This window comes from Homo sapiens, chromosome 6 (genome assembly GCF_000001405.40).
Source record: "Homo sapiens chromosome 6, GRCh38.p14 Primary Assembly".
Lineage (NCBI taxonomy): Eukaryota > Metazoa > Chordata > Mammalia > Primates > Hominidae > Homo > Homo sapiens.
In genome coordinates this window covers 24289711-24313507 of record NC_000006.12, presented here as the reverse complement: position 1 = coordinate 24313507, position 23797 = coordinate 24289711, and the positions used below count along the sequence as shown (strand labels likewise).

At 38.2% G+C, this 23797-nt stretch overlaps 1 protein-coding gene across 2 annotated transcripts in view; it reads left to right on the top strand.

The window, feature by feature from the left end:
* Positions 1–23797, top strand: part of DCDC2 (doublecortin domain containing 2) — a 211538-nt gene that overhangs the window by 69785 nt on the left and 117956 nt on the right. For both annotated transcript variants that reach the window (NM_001195610.2, NM_016356.5), the window contains 3 exons: positions 11464–11540; positions 11662–11793; positions 22430–22576. In NM_001195610.2, coding sequence (NP_001182539.1) covers positions 11464–11540; positions 11662–11793; positions 22430–22576 — 356 coding nt within the window. The remainder of the gene's footprint in view (positions 1–11463; positions 11541–11661; positions 11794–22429; positions 22577–23797) is intronic.

Genomic DNA, 23797 nt, shown 5'->3' with positions numbered 1-23797 from the left:
AAATCCCATTTGGGAAAATAAAACAAAAACAAAAAATGGCAATGGTGAAATCTAAGTATGGTGTAGTAAGTTAAGAAAGAATACAAAAGAAAAGACAAACAATCCCCAAATACTTTTATTTTTTTTTTCCCCAGTGCTTGCTTAGTGGCAGTTCCTGTAGACTTCTGAGAATTCTCTTGAGTTAATTGGTTATTTTTTAACTTTATGGGGGCCATATTATTCTCTTAAGCATAGCATTAGGGAAACCCATGGGCATTTACTTGTGAATACCTTAACAAGTATTCAAGTAACATTTATTTTCTTGTAAGTGCCCATTGCAAATAATTATTTTTAGAATAAGTTAGTACACTTGAGGCTTAACATTATATATTCAGAATGCTTAGGATCATCTGTGGAAATATTTCTGTGGTGATATATTCCACAGAAAACAATAAAGAGAAAAATCAAACCAGAATTTCAATAGCTTAAAAATTTGTGGTATGAAAACTGATTTGAAGCATCAAAATTTCCTGAGAAGACTTAGGAATATAAACATTTACTTAATATATACTTACATTGAAGAGTTTTCCAAAGAAGGTATTACTTATGATGGGTATCTTATCTTCTGGGTCATTTTTAGGTTAAAAAAGAAATATTTTACTTTGCTTTGTTTTGAATAGCATATCATCTGTTTGTTTGTTAATTTGGTTTGAGTTGTTTTCCTGTCTCAGTGAATGGAGGTATTCATTTAGATCACAGTACAAAAGGCAAAATATGCAAACCGATGCTATGGTATCCATTATTGGGAGGAAAATAGCCATCTGAATAAGGAATGATAATCCACACTTGACAGATAAGCCCTAACCTTTCCTTTGGAAATCAGCCTGTGTACTGGGTACAGCAACATGGGGACCAATAGGACCCAGGTAGAGATGAGTGGTTTCATCAGCTCATAGAAACTAACTGGACCCTTCTGGGAATGTTCCAGACAGCTTGTTCGTTATAATTAAAGACATATTCTCTAACTAGTTTCTCACTGGTTAGTGCAATTGGAATTTAAAAAAAAATATTATTATATAACAATGCCGGTAAAGAGATTCTTTCCAAAATATTTCCGTGGCTGGCCTGATTTTGCCACCATCCCTGGATTATGGAATTTCTAGAAGTTACTGGGATTAACAGATTTTAATTTTCATTCCACTGAGGTGTTACGTGTCCATGTGAAGAGACCACCAAACAGGCTTTGTGTGAGCAATAAAGCTTTTTAATCACCTGGGTGCAGTCAGACTGAGTCCGAAAAAGGAGTCAGCAAAGGGAGATGGGGTGAGGCAGTTTTACAGGATTTGGGTAGGTAGTGGAAAATTGCAGTTAAGGGGAGTTGTTCTCTTGCAGGCGGGGGTGGGGGTCACAAGGTGCTCGGTGGGGAGCTCCTGAGACTCACTGTCCAGGAGAAGGAATGTCACAAGGTCAATTGGTCAGTTAGGGTGGGGCAGGAACAAATCACAATGGTGGAATGTCATCAGTTAAGGCAGGAACTGGCTATTTTCACTTCTTTTGTGGTTCTTCAGTTGCTTCAGGCCATCTGAATGCATATGTGCAGGTCACAGGGGATATGATGGCTTAGCTTGGGCTCAGAGGCCTGACATCAGGTTGTACATAAATTGTACTGTTAGCCTCATGTGAAGAATATTTGATAGTAGTCAAGGGGAGACAGACTTGGGTGAACGTGAGAACGTATGTGCTGCAAGGCACAGTAGGAAGAACTCTGGTTTGGAAGTCAGAAGTGGATTCATGTGACTGCTTCTTTGCTTACTGCATGACCTTGAGAGATGGGGAGGCTCATCTTTTCCCATCTATACAATTAGAGTAATGGTAGCCTCATAAGGTTATTTTGAGGAACAAATGTGAATATAAATGAAAACCTTTTGTAAATTCTGATGTGTTTTACAACTGTAAATTTATTAGAAAATAACTACCTTAGAATGATATTGTGAAAAGTCAAAGTAACATATGGAAAGTATTTGATGCAGTTCTGGGCATAATATATGCTCAAAAATTGGTGTCCTAATTGTTGTTTAATTAAAGTATGTACTGAGCAAATTCTGTATTCAAAGCACCAATAATAGGTTTTTTGGTTATAGATAAGGCTGTTTACTAAGAAAACAAATAAATATGCAGTCTACATAAATATTGATGCCATTGGGGAATATGTTAACTTTATAAAAAGTATTGTATAAAAAGTATTGCATGAAAAGTTCAGACAAAATGATTTGCATTTTGGAAGAGAGAAATTATCCAGCCAAGTGAATGGTAAATGTGGCAATAGGAGAAATAAGGTTACAGTGTGGTAGGATGGGGTCAGCTCAAATATGATCCAAATAATCAAGTCCAGTCCAAGACACGAGGACATCATCTGAAGCCAGTGGCAGCTTTTATAGGTGTTTGCAGAGAGACATCACATGTTTGGGTCTGTGCTTCAGGAAGATGAATTCACACAGAGTTGGATGAGAGAGGAAAGATGCTAGAGGCAGGAATCCTGGTTAGACCATGCTAGGTGCAGCTCCTAGAGGATTTGTGAGGACCTGGCCTTGGGCTGTGGGGGCAGGTAAGAAGGGGACAGATAAAATAATTTTGAGTGGGGAGAGCTCTGGGATTTCATCAGTGGTAACGATGTGTCCTGTGGTAACATTTTCTTGCAACTGCTTTGAAAAAAAATGCAGGTGATTTATGAAAACTGAATAATGCAAAACAAATTTCTTATGTTTTAGTGACTCTGCTGACTTGATGACTGTTTAGGTATAGACAGACTTTTACAAATCTTAGTTTTAATGAAAAGCATTAGACATATCCAGCTGGGTATACAGATTTGGTGTCAGGAGAAAAATTTGGACTAGAGATAGGGATTTGGTTGTCATTGGCAAAATGATGTTGGTCATAAACAACATGGCATGTGATAAATTTGACCAAGAGAGTGTTTGGGTTAAAAGCCGGGAAGGCAGAGATGGAATTCTTGGGGGGAAATACCAACATTTAATGTGAGCCAAGGAGGAGGAGTTGTTGGTATAGGAAACTGAGAATGGTCACAGAAGGATGGGGTTCAGAGACAACATATTGCTGAACTGTGATGGAGTATCCAGTTATGCAGTTAGTATTTTCCTTTGATACCATAGAAGATTATATACCCAAAATACCCGGGAGCTGTACTATTTCAGATTAACAATACTTATTTAATTTTCTGGAGCTTAATTTTTTGGAGCTCGATTTTCTTACATCCAAAAGAGCACAATACTAGAAAAAGATATTTTAGCACATCAGATATTATATGGGATATAATGTTCTCTAAGACATAGCCAAGTATAAAAAGTATATTTGTTTAAAAAACACTTTAATACAAATCTACTATGAAAATTAATCAAGAAAATGGATATTATGTTTCTTTTGTAATTTTGCATTGACCAAAAACATCTGAATTTACTTGATTAATATTTATCTGGTATATCTTTTTCCATAGTTTTAACCTACCCATATCTTGTTTTTGTCTTTTTTTTAATTATTATTTTTTTAATAGACAGGGTCTCACTATGTTGCCCAAGCTGGTCCTGAACTCCTGGGCTCAAGCAGTCCTCCCATTTCAGCCTGCCAAACTGCTGGGATTATGGGCATGGGCCACCATACCTGGCCTACTCACGTCTTTATATTTAAAGTGTGTCTCTTATAAACAGTATATTGTGAGATCTTGTTCCTTTTTCCAGTCTGCCTGTCTCTGTCCTTTAGTTGGAATTTTTAGTTCATTTGAATTTACTGAATTACTGGCATGATTAGAATCGAGTTTATCATGTTATTTGTTTTTTTGTTCCATCTAATATTTGTTTTTGTTCTTTCTTGTCTTTTTTATGAACAGATTCATCAAACATTTAAACAATTATTTCATTTTATCTCTCTATTGGCTTTTTAGCTATGCCTCTTTGGGATTTTGTTTTCAGTAGGTACTCTAGGGCTCACAATATACATCCTTAACTTATTTTAGTTTGCCTTCAAATAATATTATGCCAGTTCTGTACAACAGTGTAATTCCATTTATCTTTAATGGTACCTTTGTGTTCCTATTAAATATTTTAGTTTTATATATGTTACCAATCTCATGAATCATCATTATTATTTTTGTTTTAAACTAGTCTTTAGGACTAATTTTTTTTTTTTTTGAGATGGAGTCTTGCACTGTGTCGCCCGGGCTGGAGTGCAATGGCGTGATCTCGTCTCACTGCAACCTCTGCCTCCTGAGTTCAAGTGATTCTCCTGCCTCAGCCTCCCAAGTAGCTGGGATTACAAGTGCCCGCCACCAAGCCTGGCTAATTTTTTGTATTTTTAGTAGAGATGGGGTTTCACCATGTTGCCAGGCTGGTCTTGAACTCCTGACCTTGTGATCCACCCACCTTGGCCTCCCCAAGTGCTGGGATTACAGGCGTGGATTAATTTTTTTAAGTTTTAAAAATTACTCACATATTTCCATTCAATGTCCTTTTATACTTCTGTGCAGATCCAGGTTTGTATCTTGTATTATTTTCCGTGTTTGAAGAACTTCCTTTGTGATTTTTTGGTAGCATGGGTCTGGCAACAGTCAATTCTCTCGGCTTTTATCTGTCTAAAAAAGGTCTTTGTTTCAACTTCCTTTTTGGAGGATATTTTCTCAGGGCACTCTCTGTTGTGTCTAATTTGCTAAAGCGCATGGAATGAATTCTTCATTACAGATATTCTGTTTTTTAGTTCTAGAATTTTCTTTTGTTTCTTTAGAGTTTCAATTTCTGGGCTAAAATTCCTCTTATTTTATCATTTTTCCACCTTTTCTACTGAATTTTTTAACGTATTTATAACATTTATATTAAAATCCTTATTTGCTAATTTCAATATCATGATCATCTCTGGGTTTGACTTTATTTCTCTTGATAACGGGTCGTCATGTTTTCTACTTTATTTACATGTTTTATAGTTTGTGTTGTGTACTAGTCATTTTGTATGAAATTTTGTATAAAACTTATAGAAATTTAAAGTAGGTGATAATTATCCCCAGGAAAAAGCATGTCCCCTTCTTCTATTGGGCTGCTAGGGAAAGGAGCTGATCTTATAGTATAATCCATAGTTGAGCTGGGAACAGGCTGGGCTGCCGTTTTAGTTAGATTTAGTTTACTAGTGGTTTCAAACACTTTGAGGGTGAAATCAGGGCTTGCTTTCTGTGCAACAGGACTTGGGAGTTAATATTGGTGAGATTTAGAAATCTGTCTCTACAATTAGTCCAGCTATTAGCTATTTCCACCACTGGAGATTCTGTCTGTTACACAGCTTTCCACACTATGGGATTCCTTTCTCTGCTCTTTTGCCCTGCTCTTGGCTTTTGTTACACTTCCGTGCACTTGAAGAAGGCCCCATGGGGAAGAATTCATGGGTGGTGTGGACTTGCTCTGCATCTGGGTTTCCTTGGTCATGCTGACTAACACAGGCTGACTGTCTATGGAGGTTTATTCCTCTGCCTTTTGTGCCCCTGGGGATGAAAGCAGCTGAAGATTTCTTCTCCCTTAGAAAGGGTTCATCACTCTCTGGAATTTAGTTCATCTAGACATCTTTGCATCCTAACAAAGTGACATTGGCACTTTCCAATATCAGTTATGGCACATCCCCTCAAAAATAGGGCCCGTTCAGTCTAGTAGATCTCATCAGACATCTTAGCCAGTCTTTCTCCCATTTAAAAAATAGTGATACTGAAAAAAAAAAAGAATGATTCTTTAAAAAATCTTTTTCAGAACAATCTATAATTTGGATGTATCTGGTGTATTGACTCCTTGATAAATTGTTTTCTAGTCTGGTGTCTTTTACTAGCCTTTGGCCCTTCTCATTTATCAAAAAGTGGTGAAAACTGATTCATTATTTTGTAAAGGATTTTGTTCTCTTTGATGCTGTGTGCTGTTTGCTAAGTAGTAACAGTTTCCTCTAAAATTACCATTTTGAGAACCTACTTTTCCTTAAATCCATACGATAAAGAAAATAGAGTTGAAGCTTTTTTGTGTAGGTTGGCTTATATTTTGCAAGTAAGAAATTTCACTACATATTTTTCTTTAAAAATGCCTATCTCATGGACAGTCACAAAAATCTGATATGTATTTTTTAAAGTTATTGAAAATTGAGCTTTTAAATTCTATAATCAGTTCTTCCAAGAGGTTTGTGGTCATTACAATTTTGTGATAGTATCATTTAACAGCATCCTTTCCTCACCTCTTTAGACAGAGTTTGTTTTTTTTTGGACCAGGTTTTCAAGACGTGGTGAGTGCTGAGATTTGAGGCAGAGGGATTCTCAGAAGCATTCAGTTTACAGCCCCAGGGAGTGATATTTCCACTTTATTAATTAGTTCATGGAGCATCCCTTTGGGCTAGTTTAGCAGGATTATTCCTACTTTTATAGGTCTAGAAATTGAAGTGTGAAGTGTTGAATTGGCTCATGTAAAAAGGTTTAGGCAATCAGTGTCAAAATTCAGAATTCCAGAGCTTTAGTCAGTTACTCAGTTTATCAACCTTGATCTTGTTATTCCAAATATATGTTTTTAAAGGAACAATTTTGATTTTATTGATTTTATTTTTCATAGCAAACAGATTCATCCAGCTTTTAACTTGAATGTTGACCCAGCTGTGATATTGACCTACTGTTATGGAATTTGTGAACTTGACTTAAATTACTTATGTAAACTTACTGGATTCACATGAAGCATTTTATTTTTGTATGGTCATCTGTGACATAAAATCTAATCTAAATAAGATGTCAGAGACAGGGTGATATATTGGAGACAGCATGTGATTTGTATCCAAATTCTGCACTAGACTCCTAGCTCATCCCATTCCAGCAGGGTAAGAATGGTTAAGTTACTTTTGCCACCTTTGACTTTGGAAATATTTCCAAGAAATATTTTGTCTGTCTGTCTGTCTGTCTGTCTGTCTGTCTATCTATCTATCTATCTATCTATCTATCTATCTATCTATCTATCTATCTAATCTCCACTCAGGGGTTTGAAATGGGGTTTTGCCAGCCTCTTCAGCCTGCTCCAGAATGACTCCTCTCTCTAATTCACTCGGCTAACCTACTTCTCAATATTGAAATAAATTTGGTTTTTCAAGACAATGTTGAGCCCAGTGCAGAATCAAGGCAAGAGGTCAGTCATCAGTGTGTCCTGCTTTTGCTTGGTGTTGATTCCTTCACCAAATGACAAAGTCAAAGTACAAAGTGAAAGTTTGAATTTTGCAATGATAACTTACCATTTGATTGGTTTCGTAGTCACAGATTACACGCTGGTCAGTCTGCTCACCAGTGAACTCCATCCCTGGCTACACGGGGCTCTGAGTGAGAATACCTCATACTCCATCTCTAGGTGTCCATCTCCTTGTAACTAGGAGTGTTGATACTTAATATTACCCTCATATTTCAAGTAGCATTTCTTTTCTTTCCTTTCTTTTTTTTTTGAGACAGAGTTTTGCTCTTGTTGCCCAGGCTGAAGTGCAGTGGTGCAATCTTGGCTCACTGCAACCACTGCCTTCTGGGTTCAAGTGATTCTCATCCCTCAGCTTCCAAGTAGTTGGAATTACAGGTGCATACCACCACGCCCAGATAATTTTTGTATTTTTAGTAGAGATGGGGTTTCACCATGTTGGCCATGGCTGGTCTCGAACTCCTGACCTCAGGTGATCCACCCCCCCTTGGCCTCCCAAAGTGCTGGGATTATAGGTGTAAGCCACTGCACCTGGCCTGAAGTGGCATTTATGTTTACAGTGCAAGGGGAAGTGTATGGGCTAATAAGAAAATTGATTTAAAAATTCTAATTTATCATTATGTTCCCCATCATCTAAAGCCATCATGTCCCTAGAGTACCACCAACTGACCAACCCTTTATCCCCGATTAGGGCTCTGGAGAAGTTCCTCTTATACCCAGTTGATTTGGTTTAATTTTTTTGTGTGTTGTTTATTACTTAAAATGCCTGCTAAAAATGCATTTTATATAAAAACTGGTATTGTTTTTAAAAAGTATGAATCATTTTTTATAATTATCTTTTTGTTTCTTTTACAATTCAGGTATACTACTTTGAGTAGTTTTTCAGATTTTTAGTGTATCTGAAAACAGTAATTTAGTTATTTTAATTATGTAACTCAAGGAAATATAACTTTAAGATTAGTTTTCAATTCAACTGGTTAATCATGAACATTTGGGGAACACTTTTGCCATGCCGAATGAGGAAAACAATTATTATTTAAAACAGATGGTTTGATTGAATTCAAGTAATAATTTACATACTCAGAATCAAATTACATAATTATTTCAACAATCATGTATTTTTATGAATTTCAATATATTGTTTATAGCTATCTGTGCTCTAAAGCAAAACAGCATGTTTTAGACAATGCAACAAGATTTTTAAAGTTACTTATTGATATAACATATTAACTTTTGCCTTTAATTCAATAACCCAACAAGATTTTAAACCATCAAGAATGGGTATGGTTAGAGAGTCACATATTGAAGAGATAACAGCAGAGCATCCTCTGTATGTGCTTAGTGCATTGCTAGCTAAGGCACTAAGGAGGAATGCTTAAGCCCAGGAATTTGAGGTTACAGTGAGCTGTGATCGCACCACTGTACTCTAGCCTGGGTGACAGAGCAACACCCTGTCTCTAAAAGGGAAAAAAAATGATATAACCCTCACTTGTAAGTACCCATTTGAAACAATCTCCATGATAAATTATTAAATTAAAAAAGCAAGGTGCTGAAGAATTGGTAAAGCAGGCCATCAGCGCATTTAAAAATTGTATGTATGTGCTATGTACATAAGATAATATGCATGTGTATGTACAGACTATCTTTGAAGGAATATTTCTAACTCTGGTTGCAGCTTGGTGATTAGGGCATAGGAGTGGGAAGGACACTTCTTTTTTACTGTACACCCCCTTTAACCACTTGAATTTTGTTCAGGTGCGTGCATTACCTGCTAAACATTTTATTTTATTTTTTCTTTTGAGACAGAGTCTCGCTTTGTTGCCCAGGCTGGAGTGCAATGGTGCCATCTCAGATCATTGCAACCTCTGCCTCCCGGTTTCAAGCAATTCTCATGCTTCAGCCTCCTGAGTAGCTGGAACTACAGGTGCACACCACCACACTCAGCTAAGTTTTGTATTTTCAGTAGAGATAGGGTTTCACCATGTTGGCCAGGCTGGTCTCCAACTCCTGACCTTAGGAGATCCACCTGCCTCAGCCTCCCAAAGTGTTGGGATTACAGGCGTGAGCCAACACACCCAGCCCTGTTAAACATTTTTTAAAAAGTCAGCGTCACTTAATGTGATGCTAGGTGTTAGTGTAGGGCTAAGAACCTGTGTGCTTAAAATGAAAAAAAGTTACTATGATTAAATTTTAAAAATTGTACTCTAGAGTATGACATTTTAACAAACATTTATTGTGCAACTCGTAGGCATTGCCAAGCACTGTTTTAGGCACTTGAGAGTCACAGAAAAAATATTCATTCTTGTTTCTCTCAGAGATGGCATAATTCTACCAAGAATGGAGTCCCATAAATGATCTAGGGCTACTATTTGATTTTTAAGATAACTAGCAAAGTGCGTAGCAAATAGTAGGGGCTCATAGACATAGGTTCACTAAAACTCTACCACTTATTATGTGTGATTTTAGGCCAATTAATTAATCAAGCTCCAGTTTCTTTAGTAAATTGGGACTATAGTAATGCCACTTCAGGACACTGTTTTGATGATTAGAAAATATATAATGCATATAAATTACTTAGTACGGTGCTTGCCATGAAATATAGCACAACTGTTACCTATTTTTATAAATTAGTGTTGTTTGTAAGTTTTCCTTTCAAATCATGGGGTAAAATCACCTAAAACTCAAAGTGCAAGAATCAATACTATAGTAGCTGTAGCAGTTTGAGACAGAAAGCGCAAGAAGAATGAGCAGGGAATGATTGGTGATAACTGAGCTGGGCCTTGAAGAGCAGATGGAATTCCAGTAGGTGGAGAAATGAGGAGGGCGTTTTAGCCAGAGGGGCAAAGGCAAGGTGTGGATGCAGGGGATGTTTTGGGAATGGAGGGGAGCAGGCTGGTTCAACTACAGTGCGTGACGAGGAGTCTGTGTGGAAGGAGTGTTGGTAGGAGATGAGGGCACCAAGTAAGCGGCACTTGGCCCTGGGAGTTCTTGCAGGCCATGCTTGAAAGTCGGGATTTATCTTCCAGTATTAAAGGTGGACACCAGACGGCAGAAGCCTGAAGAGAGGATAGGGAGGAAGTCGGAATAGGAATAATGAAGAGAGAGATGGCAGCTGTACTTGAGAGCGGCCATAAGGTCAAGGGGAAAATTAAAGGCACCAGGTAGAGATGGAGGTCTTAAATGAATGAACAAGCAGAGACAGCCGGGGACAAAATCAAGATGTGGGGTTAGCTTCCTAAAGGCATATAGTTCCTTCTGAGACAGGCAGAAAAGGAGAAAAATGGTGAGGATCTAGATGAGGTGAGTTGTGGAGGGAAGGAAAGTTGAGGGGCTTCGTGTCTACTGGCTTCTATTTCTTGACATTTGGAATGAAATGACCTGCTGAGAGTGTGTGTGCCTGGAGTGGGATTTTAAGGGTTAGGTGAGGGGTGAGGTGAGATGAGAGGTGAGGATTTGGACTATCCACTGTGGGAAATGGAAAAAAGAACTGTGGGAGGAGTGGAGGGCTGGCTGAGCAAGCTATACTGAGGTCCAGGTGATGGCTTGATGCTGAAAGCTGGTCTCAGGTGAGGGCTGCTCATGGGGCCCCGTGGTTCTCTCTAATAGCAGCTGGGACCCTGGAAGCAAAAAGAGAGGCAAAGGTGATCACATCTACCCAGTGGCAAGGGCTGCGGGAATTGAGGGTGCTGGCGTGAGTGTACCTGATTCAATGGGGGATAGGGGAGAAAGTGAAACCTGGGAAAAATTGCTTGTGTCAGTCTTAAGAGAAAAGGGTGGGGTCAGGCACTTGGTGGGGGCCAAGGATCAGAAAGCAGGTGCATGGGAATGGGAAAGGAAAGATGATGGAACACAGTATGTTGGGCTGCAGGCACAGCACTTCAGAGCTCAAGATTTTATAGGATTATTTTGTTGTTTTTCAGAATGCATTGTTTAAAAATTATCTTAATATTTTCGTAACAGAAAATGATTTCTGTTTTTTTTTTTTTTCCACAGATCATGAGCAGTGTGCCTAGGGCTTAAGGGAAATTTTCCTTTCTTTTCTTGAGAGCTTTGTTAAGGGCTTATAATATTGCTAAAGGGTGAGCTCAGAGTTTACAGAAATGCTGAGAAAAGCAAGGTTTTAACAAAGGCACAGGAAGTCTCAGGCAGTTCCCTAGAAACTGTAGATTTTCCTCATAGGAAAAAAAAAGCTAATATAAGCTTAGTGGTTTATATTTTTTTTCCTTTGCTTTTAAAGGTAAAACCAGTAATCCATAGCAGGATCAACGTGTCAGCTCGCTTTAGAAAACCGCTTCAGGAGCCGTGCACTATCTTGTAAGTTGAAACCCTTTATACTTCAAGTTAAAATTGGCTTGGTGGTTTCCTTTTGGTTTGGAATTTGTGTTGTAGTTTTCAAGGCATAACTGTTTCAGAAGGTTTGCCCCCTGTTTTCCAGCTTGATTGCAAATGGAGACCTCATAAACCCAGCTTCTCGCCTCCTTATCCCCAGAAAAACCTTGAATCAGTGGGATCATGTACTACAAATGGTCACAGAAAAAATCACTCTGAGGAGCGGGGCTGTTCACAGGTATGTCAAAACAATCTTGTAAGTGGAGGAGTTTTTGAATTGTTGAAGATATTCTCAGGAGGCTCCGGAGTCACTGGTCTGTGGATTTGAATTTTGGCTCCCCAGTTAGGCCCCGTATGCCTCAGTTTCTTTATCTGTAGAATGGAGATATACCTCATAGCGTTGTTTAAAATGAGGTAATCCACATACAGAGCTTAAAACAGTCATTGGCACATAGTAGCACATCTACAAATATTAACGATTTTTATTCTTTGATTTAGAGTGACTAGGCAAACATAACTTTAGTTGAGAAGGATTTTTTGAAAGAGCCAGCCCCTTAACTTTTTTTTTTTTTTTTTTTTTTTGAGATGGAGCCTTGCTCTGTCGCCCAGGCTGGTGTGCAGTGGCACGATCTCAGCTCACTGCAAGCTCCGCCTCCCGGGTTCACGCCATTCTCCTGCCTCAGCCTCCCGAGTAGCTGGGACCACAGGCGCCCACCACCACGCCCGGCTAATTTTTTGTATTTTTAGTAGAGACGGGGTTTCTCCATGTTAGCCAGGATGGGCTCGATCTCCTGACCTCGTGATCCGCCCGCCTTGGCCTCCCAAAGTCCTGGGATTACAGGCTTGAGCCACCAAGCCCGGCCCAGCCTCTTAACTCTTAATTGTCCGTTTTTTTTTTTTAAAGGGGTCATTTATGATTATTTGATAGTTTAAACTATTTGCCTAGGGTAAAAATCAGATATCAGGAAGTATTAGTGCATTTAAAGAGGAGGCATAGAAAGAATAATTTAGTGGGGTTGTCTAAATGTAAGAAGTCAAAAGCATTTTTTTCAGGTTCCAACATTTAAGTGAAGATTAACATCATAGATTTAAATTGTGAAGCCTATGAAATTATCCCTTGATGGAGGCTGACATTTATTTTCCGTCAGATGGGAGGGTTACAAATAACATATACATGTGCACAACATATTAAAAGTATGTATATGTATATACTGCTTTAGCAGAGTACACTGTTTCAAGTGTTTGTGTTTTCATACACACGTGATAAAATAGTTCTCAAATGATTGCATATTACGTCTTTCAGGTAAATGTGTATGCAGATTAATGTTTGTATATTTACACATATTAATATCCACAGTCTCATAGTCATTGAGATTTTAAATATAATTAGGTGTTTTAATTGAAAGGAATACTTTACATGTGGCAAAAAATTCAAATACGATATAAGTAAAGAGCATTTCTCCTATCTTAGGCATGTCCAGTCCTTCTCCCTAGTACTTTTCAGCATCATCCCGGAAATATTCTATGCATGTGCAAGCATATACATTTTTAATTTTTAATTTCATTTTTTTGAGACAGGGTCTCGCTGTGTCACCCAGGCTGGAGTGCAATGGTGTGATCTCAGCTCACTGCAGCCTCGATTGTGCAGACTCAATTGATACTCTTACCTCAACCTCCCAAGTAGCATGCACCACAACGTCTAGCTTTTGTTTTTTTTTTCTTTTTTGTAGAGATTAGATTTTGTCATGTTGCCCAAGCTGGTCTTGAACTCCTGGGGTCAAGCAATCCGCCCGCCTTGGCCTCCCAAAGTGCTGGGATTACAGGTGTGAGCCACTGTACCTGGACCACTTTTTAAAAACATTAAATGGAAATGCATACATATGTATAAATAAATAAATACATGTATACAAACACCCCCTTGATTTTTTCCTATAATAAATCTTAGAGATTATTCTTATCAGCACAGATACCTCTATTTTATTATTTTTAATGACTACAAAGTATTTTATTTATTTTTATTTTTATTTTTTTTTGAGATGGAGTTTCACTCTTGTTGCCCAGACTGGAGTGCAATGGTGGGATCTTGGCTCACTGCAACCTCCACCTCCTGGGTTCAAGTGATTCTCCTGCCTCAGCCTCTCAAACAGCTGGGATTACAGGCGCCTGCCACCATGCCCATCTAATTAAAAAAAATTTTTTTTCGTAGAAACTGGGTTTCACCATGTTGGCCAGGCTAGTTTCAAACTCCTGACCTCAAGCAATCCACCCGCCTTGGCCTCCCAAAGTGCTAGGATTACAGGTGTGAGCCACTGCGACTGGCCCAAAGTATTCTATTTTAACACAAAGTATTCCAAATCCTAATTTTTTCATTAAGAAATTTTTAGTTGGGCAACATCTCATTTTATAAAATAGAATGAGTGTTCCCAACTTAATTTTTTAGACCAGTTACCTCTTTTTTATAATTTCATTTGTTTATTTTAGGTTCAGGGAATACATTTGCAGGTTTGTTACATGGGTATATTGCATGATGCTGAGATTTCGGGTACAGATGTTGTCACCCAGGAAGTGAGCATAGTACCCAATAAGTAGTTTTTCACTCTATTTCCCTCCCCTCTCTAGCAGTCAACAGTATCTACTGTTCCTATTTTTATGTCCATCTGTACCCAATATTTAAGCTCCCACTTACTAGTGAGAATAAGTAGTATTTGGTTTTCTGTTCCTGCATTAATTTGCTTAGGATTATGGCCTCCAGCTGCATCCATATTGCTGCAAAGGACAGGATTTCAGTATTTTCCTGGCTGCGTAGTATTCCATGGTGTATATACACCATATTTTCTTTATCCAGCCCACCATTGATGGAGCACCTAGACTGATTCCACATCTTTGCTATTGTGAATAGCACGGCAGTGAACGTACCAGTGCATGCTTCTTTTTGGTAGAATGATTTATTTTCCTTTGGGTTTGATGGATATTTAGGTCATTTCTAATCTTTTGCTATTACATGTACATGTCTTTTTGTATAAGCAAAGTTTATCAGGATATAAAAGTCTAGAAGTTGAATTGTTGTATTAAGTTTCAAATGCCTTTAACATTTTGATAGATACTGCCAATTGCCTTCCAAAGAGTTTATTCTAATTTATATTTTCACCGGAAGTCTATGAACGGGCCTGTTTGTCATACTGTTACCTGTCTAGTAAAACTAACATTTAGTCTTTTCACTCATGTTGCGTGAAAATAGTATTTCATTGTTTTGGGATTTTTATTTAATATACAACATCATCTATTGACTATTTCTTATGTGTCAGGCATTATTCTCAGTGCTTTATATTTTTGACTTAATTAACTGAGCGACCCTATGAGGTAGGTAGTGTTTCTATTCTCTTTTAATAGACATGAGATGTGAGACATAGAGCAGGAAAATTATTTGCCCAGGGTTATGGAGATACTGAGTAGCAGGGCTGGGATTCAAGCCTAGTAGGCATTCCGGCTCCAGAGCCTGTGTTCTAAATGACCAAGGTACTCTGTAAGTAAATGCCACATATTTATATCCATTGTATCTGAACTGTCTGTCATGGCCTTTGCACGTTTATCTTATTGATTTATAGGCACTCTCCAGGGTTCCCCAACCCCCAGGCCATGGACTGGTACCATTCCGTGGCCTGTTAGGAACCCGACTGCACAGCAGGAGGTGAGTGGCAGGCGAGCATCACCGCCTGCACTCCACCCCCTGTCAGATCAGCAGCAGCATTAGATTCTCATAGGAGCATGAAGCCTATTGTGAACTGTGCATGCGAGGTATCTAGGTTGTGTGTTCCTTATGAGAATCTAATTCCTGATGATTTGAGGTGGAACAATGTCATCTCATAACCATCCCGTCCCCCACTCCGTCTGTGGAGAAATTATCTTCCGCAAAACCAGTTCCTGGTGCTAAAAAAGTTGGGGACCACTGCTCTAGACATATTGGGGAAATTGGCCTTTTCTGATATGTTTTAAGTACACTTCCAGTTTGCATTTTCTTTACATTTCTTTTTTCATACAAATATCTTAAATTTTAATGCAGTCTAATTTTCAATCTTTATAATCACTACGTTTTATGACTTGTTTAGATCTTCCTTACTCCAAGATTATAAGAATATTCTCCTATGTTTTCTCCTTGTATTTTAAAATTTTATTTAAACCTTTGATTTTGTTGGATTTTATTTTGGTGTCATAAGTAAAGGCAGATCTCAATAATTACAATTTTTTTTACATATATAATTTTGACATTTGACATATACATAAATGTAAATCCACCCTATAAGTAATAAAAAGGACACAAAGGTATATACAGGTAATTTCACAGCCAGATATACCTATTCATACATATATTAATATGAAAAAATTTACACACAGAAATAAAATATATTCAAGTAAAAATATAGAAATGAAAGTATAGTTATGTTGCTCAAACACTTGAATACTTAGAGAAACTTCTTTTTTTTTAAACTTGTATTTTAGGTTCACGGGTACATGTGCAGGTTAGTTGCATAGGTAAACTTGTGTCACGGTAGTTTGTTGTACAGATTATTTTGTCACCCAGGTACTAAGCCTAGTACCCAATAGTTACTTTTACTGTTCCTCTCTCTCCTCCCACCCTCTACCCTCAAGTAGGCCCCAGTGCCTGTTGTTCTTCTCTTTGTGCGCATGTGTCCTCATTTATCTCCCCCTTGTAAGTGAGGACATGTGGTGTGAGGTTTTCTGTTCCTGTGTTAGTTTGTAAAGGATGATGGCCTCCAGCTCTTTCCATGTTCCTGCAAAGGACATGATCTGACCCTTTTTTATGGCTGCATAGTATTCCATGGTGTATATGTACCACTTTTTCTTTATCCAGTCTACCACTGATGGACATTTAGTTTAATTCCTTTTCTTTGCTACTGTGAATAGTGCTGCAATGAACATATGTGTGCATGGGTCTTTATGGTAGAATGATTTATATTCTTTTGGGTGTATACCCAGTAATGGGATTGCTGGGTCAAACGGTAGTTCTGTTTTTAGCTCTCTGAGGAATTGCCACACTGCTTTCCACAATGATTGAACTAGTTTACACTCTGCCAGTAGTGTATAAGCATTCTCTTTTCTCTGCAGCTTTTCCAGCATCTATTATTTTTTGACTTTTTAATAATAACCATTTTGACTGGCATGAGATGGTGTATCATTGTGCTTTTTGTTTGCATTTCTCTAGTGATAAGTGATATTGAGCTCTTTTTCATATGCTTGTTGGCTGCAAGTATGTCTTCTTTTGAAAAGTGTCTGTTCATGTCCTTTGCCCACTTTTTAATGGGGTTGTTTTTTTTCTTGTAAGTTTAAGTTCCTTATAGATGCTGGATATTAGACCTTTGTCAGATGCATAGTTTGCAAAAGTTTCTCCCATTCTGTAGTTTATCTGTTTACTCTGTTGATAGTTTCTTTTGATGTGCAGAAGCTCTTAAGTTTCCCAATTGGTAAATTTTTGCTTTTGTTTTGATTGCTTTTGGTGTCTTTGTCATGAAATCTTTACCAGTTCCTTTGCCCAGGATGGTATTGCCTAGGTTGTCTTCCAGGGCTTTTATAGTTTTGCGTTTTATGTTTAAGTCTTTAATCCATTTTGAGTTGATTTTTGTGTATGGTATAAGGAAGGAGTTCAATTTCAGTCATCTGTATCTGGCTAGCCAGTTATCCCAGCACCATTTATTGAATAGGGACTCCTTTCCCCATTGCTTGTTTTTGTTAGTTTTGTCGAAGAACAGATGGAAGTAGGTGTACTGTGTTATTTCTGGGGTCTCTATTTGGTTCCGTTGGTCTACATTGTCTGTTTTTGTCCCAATACCATGCTGTTTTGGTTACTGAATCCATGTAACATAGTTTGAAGTTGGGTAACAGGATGGCTCCAGCTTTGTTCTTTTTGCTTAGGATTGTGTTGGCTATTTAGGTTCTTTTTTGGTTCCATTTAAATTTTAAAATAGTTTTTTCTAGTTCTGTGAAGAATGTTAATGGTAGTTTGATAGCAGTAATATTGAATCTGTAAATTGCTTTGGGCAGTATATGGCCATTTTCATGATACTAATTCTTCCTATCCATGACCATGGGCTGTTTTTTCCTGTTTGTTTGTGTCATCTCTGATTTCTTTAGGCAGTGTTTTGTAGTTCTCATTGTAGAGATCTTTTACCCGCCTGGTTAGCTGTAGTCCTAGATATTTTATTTTATTTTTTGTGCCAATTATGAAAATGTGCTCCTGATATGGTGCTCAGCTTGGGTGTTGTTGGAGTATAGGAATGCTACTGATTTTTGTACATTGATTTTGTATCCTGAAACTTTTCTGAAGTTATTTCTCAGCTGAAAGAGCTTTTGGGCCGAGACTGTGAGATTTTCTAGATATAGAATCATGTCATCTGCAAACAGGGATAGTTTGGACTTCATCTTTTCCTATTTGGATGCCCTTTAATTCTTTGTCTTGCCTGATGACTGCCCTAGGAAGGGCTTCCAATACTATGTTGAATAGGAGTGGCGAGAGAAGGCATCTCTTTCTTCTGCTGGTTTTCAAGGGGAATGCTTCCAGTTTTTGCCCATTCCGTGTGATGTTAGCTGTGGGTTTCTCATAGATGGCTCTTATTATTTTATGTTCCTTCAATACCTAGTTTATTGAGAGTTTTTAACTTGAAGGGATGTTGAATTTTATCGAAAGCCTTTTCTGCATCTATTGAGATAATCATATGGTTTTTGTTTTAAGTTCTGTTTATGTGGTGAATCACGTTTATTGATTTGCATATGTTGAATGAACCTTGCATCCCAGGGATAAAGCCTATTTGATCATGGTGGATTAGCTTTTTGAGGTACTGCTGGATTCAGTTTGCAAGTATTTTGTTGAGGACTTTTGTATTGATGTTCATCAAGGACAACAAACTTGGCGTGAAGCTTTCTTTTTTGTTGTGTCTCTGCCAGGTTTGGGTATCAGGATGATGCTGGCCTCATAGAACAAGTTGAGGAGGAGTTCCTCCTCCTCAATTTTTTGGAATAGTTTCACTAGAAATGGTACCACATTTTGTACATCTGGTAGAATTCGACTGTGAATCTGTCTGGTCCGAGGCTTTTTTTGATCGGTAGGCTATTCATTACGGATTCAATTTTAAGAGTTTGTTATTGGTTTATTCAGGGAATAAATTTCTTCCTGGTTCAGTCTTGGGAGGGTGTATGTGTCCAGGAATTTATCCATCCCTTTCAGGTTTTCTAGTGTGTGCATAGAGGTGTTCATAGTAGTTTCTGATGGTTATTTTTATTTCTGTAGGGTCAGTGGTAACATCCCATTTGTCGTTCCTAATTGTGTTCATTTGGATCTTCTCTCTTTTCTCCTTTATTAATTCAGCCGGTGGCCTATGTATCTTATTAATTTTTTTTTAAAAACCAACTCCTGGATCCATTGATCTTTTGAATAGTTTTTCATGTCTCGATCTCCTTCAGTTCACCTCTGATTTTGGTTATTTCTTGTCTTCTGCTAGCTCTGGAGTTGGTTTGTTCTTGCTGCTTTAGTTCTTTTAGTTGTGTTATTAGGTTGTTCATTTGAGATCTTTCTAACTTTTTTTTTGGAGACAGGGTCTCACTCTGTTGCCCAGGCTAAAGTGCAGTGGCATGATCTCTGTTCATTGCAGCCTCAACCTCCTGGGCTCAAGCGATCCTCCCACCTCAGCCAAGCAGCTGGAACTACAGGAGTGTGCCACCATACCCAGCTAATTTTTTTGTATTTTTTGTAGAGACGGGGTTTCACTATGTTGCCCAGGCTGGCCTCAAACTCCTGAGCTCAGACAATCTGCCCGGCTCAGCCTCCCAAGTGCTGGGATTATAGGCATAAGACACCATGCCCAGGCAACTTTTTGATGTGGGCATTTAGTGCTATAAATTTTCCTCTTAACACAGCCTTAGCTATGTCTCAGAGATTCTGGTATGTTGTATTTTTGTTCTCAGTTTCAAAGAACTTCTTGATTTCTGCCTTAATTTTATTATTTACCCCAAAGTCACTCAGGAGCAAGTTTTTTAATTTCCATGTAATTGCATGGTTTTGAGCAATTTTTAAAGTCTTGGTTTCTATTTTTATTGTGCTGCGATCTGAGGGTGTGTTTGGTATGATTTTGATTCTTTTACATTTTCTGAGGATTGTTTTATGTTTGGTTTTGTGGTTAATTTTAGGGTATGTGCCATGTGGCAATAAGAAAAATGTATATTCTGTTTTGGGATAGAGAGTTCCATAGAGGTTTATCACATCCATTTTGTCCAAGGTTGAGTTCAGGTCCTGAATATCTTTGCTAATTTTCTGCTTTTATGATCTATCTAATACTGTCAGTGGAGTGTTGAAGTTTCCCACTATTATGTGGGAGTCTAAGTCTCTTTGTGGATTTCTAAGAACTTGCTTTATGAATCTGGGTGCTCCTGTGTTGGGTGCGTATATATTTAGGATAGGTGAAATTCTTAATGTAATGGCAGATATGAGAGATTTGGTTGCTGCTCTCTTGGGATATGACCGTTTTCCTTTAACGTTAATAAATCTTATGGTTGGCCCCTCCCTATGCATCAGTATATTCATATATAAAAAGCATCCCATAAAAATTTACTGAACTTGCTTTTTATGTTTCTTGTGTTTGTAGCAAAAGAAGAAAGTAGAGCAACAACAGTTATATAAAAGAAGGCTAAAATCATGAATTAGAATTTATTCAGTGCTGGGCCAGGTGTGGTGGCTCACGTCTGTAATCCCAGCACCTTGGGAGGATCACTTGAGCCCAGGAGTTCGAGACCAACCTGGGCAACATAGCAAAACCTTGTCTCTATTAACAAAAAGAATTTATTCACTGCGTTTTACTTACCTGCAGAGGAAACAAGTCAAATCTTGGCTGTTTCCAGAGTCCACAGCTATGCTGGTTTTTAATTTCTAGCTATGAAATTACTACTGATTGAGATATAACTATTTTGAAGAAAAGTAGAAAAATAGTGCTTGGATATAGGCCATTGGCTCTCAAGCAGGTATGATTTTGCCCCTTGGGGACATTTGGCAGTGCCTGAAACCATTTTTGGTAGTCCCAACTGGGGATGGGGTGGCTACTGCTACTGTTTAGTGGGTGGAGGCCAAAGGTGCTGCTAATAAACATCTTACAATGTACAGGGCAGCCTACTCACCTTTCCAGCAAAGAATTATCTGGTCCAAAATGTCAATAATGCCAGTATTCAGAAACCCTGGTCAAGTGTTTTTTGAGATAGCGTCTTACTATGTTGCCCAGGCTGGTCTTGAACTCCTGGGCTCAAGCGATCCTCTTGCCTTAGCCTTCCAAGTAGCTGGAACTATAGGCATAGGCCACCATGTCCAGCTTAAGTTAAGGCAAAAAACATAGAATTCTGGGTTAAGTGTTGATATTTAGACTTGTTAGGAGTAGAGGTACAATGTTATAAAGAAAGAGACTTTACCATCTGTATACTAACTAAAAACACAAATACATTTCAGGAATGTTGGTGGCTATTGGTGGCTATTTTCATTGTATTTCATGGTTCTGTATGATATGGCCATTTATGTCATCAGGAAACAAGCTGACAGGTCAATGGGTTTTTTTTTTTGCGTCTGTAAATGACATTTAATCTTATTATGTAATATAGGAAGACAGAAAGCTTTTTGATGATACTGAAATCCTTCCATTTATTAATAGCTCTTGCTTATAACCTTAAAAAATATGCACTGTCTTTCTGGTTTAGTTTTCTAATACTTATTTTCCTGTTCTTTAAAAAAATTTTTGTGGACATTTAAAATCATCTGGTAAAATTATGACTGTTCTTTTAATAAGTAACATATTAATTGTAGCTCGTAGCAGCAGTTTTACAGTAAAGGAAGGTTACTGTGAAACTGCTCGATTCTGGGAAGATATAATGTTCACTCTTGTTTTGCTTAGTAGGGACGGCAAAAAAAAAGAAAGAAGCACAAATGCTATGCAGTTCTGCATCATTAACACTGGCAATGGGTTCTTTTACCTCCTGCCCTCTCACCCCATTGTTCCTGACCCGGTTCTCTGTGTGTTTGTATGTAATATTTTGGTTGAGGGCTGTTCTTACACAGAATGTGGTCAGAAGCTTGCCAGCCTGATGAATATGCTAAGAAAATAAAATTTAAAAGTATTAACAAGGCCGGGCGCGGTGGCTCATGCCTGTAATCCCAGCACTTTGGGAGGCCGAGGCGGGCGGATCACGAGGTCAGGAGATCGAGACCATCCCGGCTAAAACGGTGAAACCCGGTCTCTACTAAAAATACAAAAAATTAGCCGGGCGTAGTGGCGGGCGCCTGTAGTCCCAGCTACTTGGGAGGCTGAGGCAGGAGAATGGCATGAACCCGGGAGGCGGAGCTTGCAGTGAGCCGAGATCCTGCCACTGCACTCCAGCCTGGGCGACAGAGCGAGACTCCGTCTCAAAAAAAAAAAAAAAAAAAAAAAAAAGTATTAACAAAATATAAATAGAAGAATCAATGTTCAATGGAAACAGAGCTTTATTTAAAGCACTGTGATCTGTACAAGTTAATTTTTCTCCTCTAAAATTTTAATATGGCAGCAATAGGGATCCTTATGCCAGATCATCAGACTCACTGGGGTGAAACCCTGTACAGCAAGATAGTCATTGTATCTGCATTATAACATTAGTATTTAGTGGAATCTGATAACTTTGAGGCATCTATAATGCAATAATGAGGATAGTAACAAATGAGCTAAATTAAGTACAGAATGTTTTTATTTACTATGTAATTTTAATTTTTTTGACATCCAGAATACTTTGTAATCTTAAGCAATTCTTTAAATGTTGGTTAAAATTCTAATTGTTGGTGTTCATATTTTCGACAGGCTTTATACTTTAGAAGGAAAACTTGTTGAGAGTGGAGCAGAGTTGGAGAATGGGCAGTTTTATGTGGCTGTTGGCAGAGATAAGTTTAAGAAACTGCCTTACAGTGAGTTACTTTTTGACAAGTCAACGATGAGAAGGCCTTTTGGGTAAGTCTTACTCCTTACCACTCCTCATGCTTTAGTTACCACTTGAAATAGCATTGGGTCTTTTGCTGACCACCATTATATTTTATGTAATTGATAATCTTATTTATTACTTAGAATGGAAAGCATATATGGTATACATTGATCTTTGTTTTTATTGCCATGATGGGAGACTGAAAGCTATTGAACAAAAATATAATTTCTGGGAAGTTATGAAAGACTACATGGTTTTTTTTTAGCATGCATGAAATTTATAAGTAAATGCAAAAATTTATTATTGTGAAGAAGATACAGGGCAATGAGCTTCTCTACAGCAAACATTATTAGAAGTTTTTGTGTCTTAATAGTTGCTAGACCAAATAACTTTTCAGTTGGTTTGGATAGAAACATCCAAGAGTGTTAAAAAACTCATAATATTTTATACTTGTTTTAATAATAACTGTAAAATATAAAAACAACATAATCCCACTTATGCAAATAGAGAGGATGGGTGTACAGTTAATTCATGTAAAATTTTAAGGATTATATTTTTAATTACAATATACCGTAAACAGTTTTTCTCCATGAAATGTCATATATTTGTGAAAGATGCTTTATTTCAGCCTAGGAGATACACTGCGGAGTCACTCAAGAAGAGCTCTGGGCCGGGCGCGGTGGCTCACGCCTGTAATCCCAGCACTCTGGGAGGCCGAGGCGGGCGGATCACGAGGTCAGGAGATCGAGACCATCCCGGCTAAAACGGTGAAACCCCGTCTCTACTAAAAATACAAAAAATTAGCCGGGCGTAGTGGCGGGCGCCTGTAGTCCCAGCTACTTGGGAGGCTGAGGCAGGAGAATGGCGTGAACCCGGGAGGCGGAGCTTGCAGTGAGCTGAGATCCCGCCACTGCACTCCAGCCTGGGCGACAGAGCGAGACTCCGTCTCAAAAAAAAAAAAAAAAAAAAAAAAAAAAAAAAAAAAAAAAGAAGAGCTCTGGCCCATGCTGCAGGATCTCTCGGCTTGCTCATGGTGCCCAGGGATCCATCTCTGTTGCTTTTCCCAGAGATTCTGTGGCCACCTTGCCATTGCAAAAAAAAATTTTTTTTGGTTGTCGTCCGCAGAAGTAGAGCAGAATATCACCAGTGTGTTTGCAATTAATTCACAATTTGTGTAACTTGATGGAGAGGCTGGCCAAGAGCTTCTAAATAAGTAATAGATGAAGTGGAATTTCAGGGGTGGTGTTTGA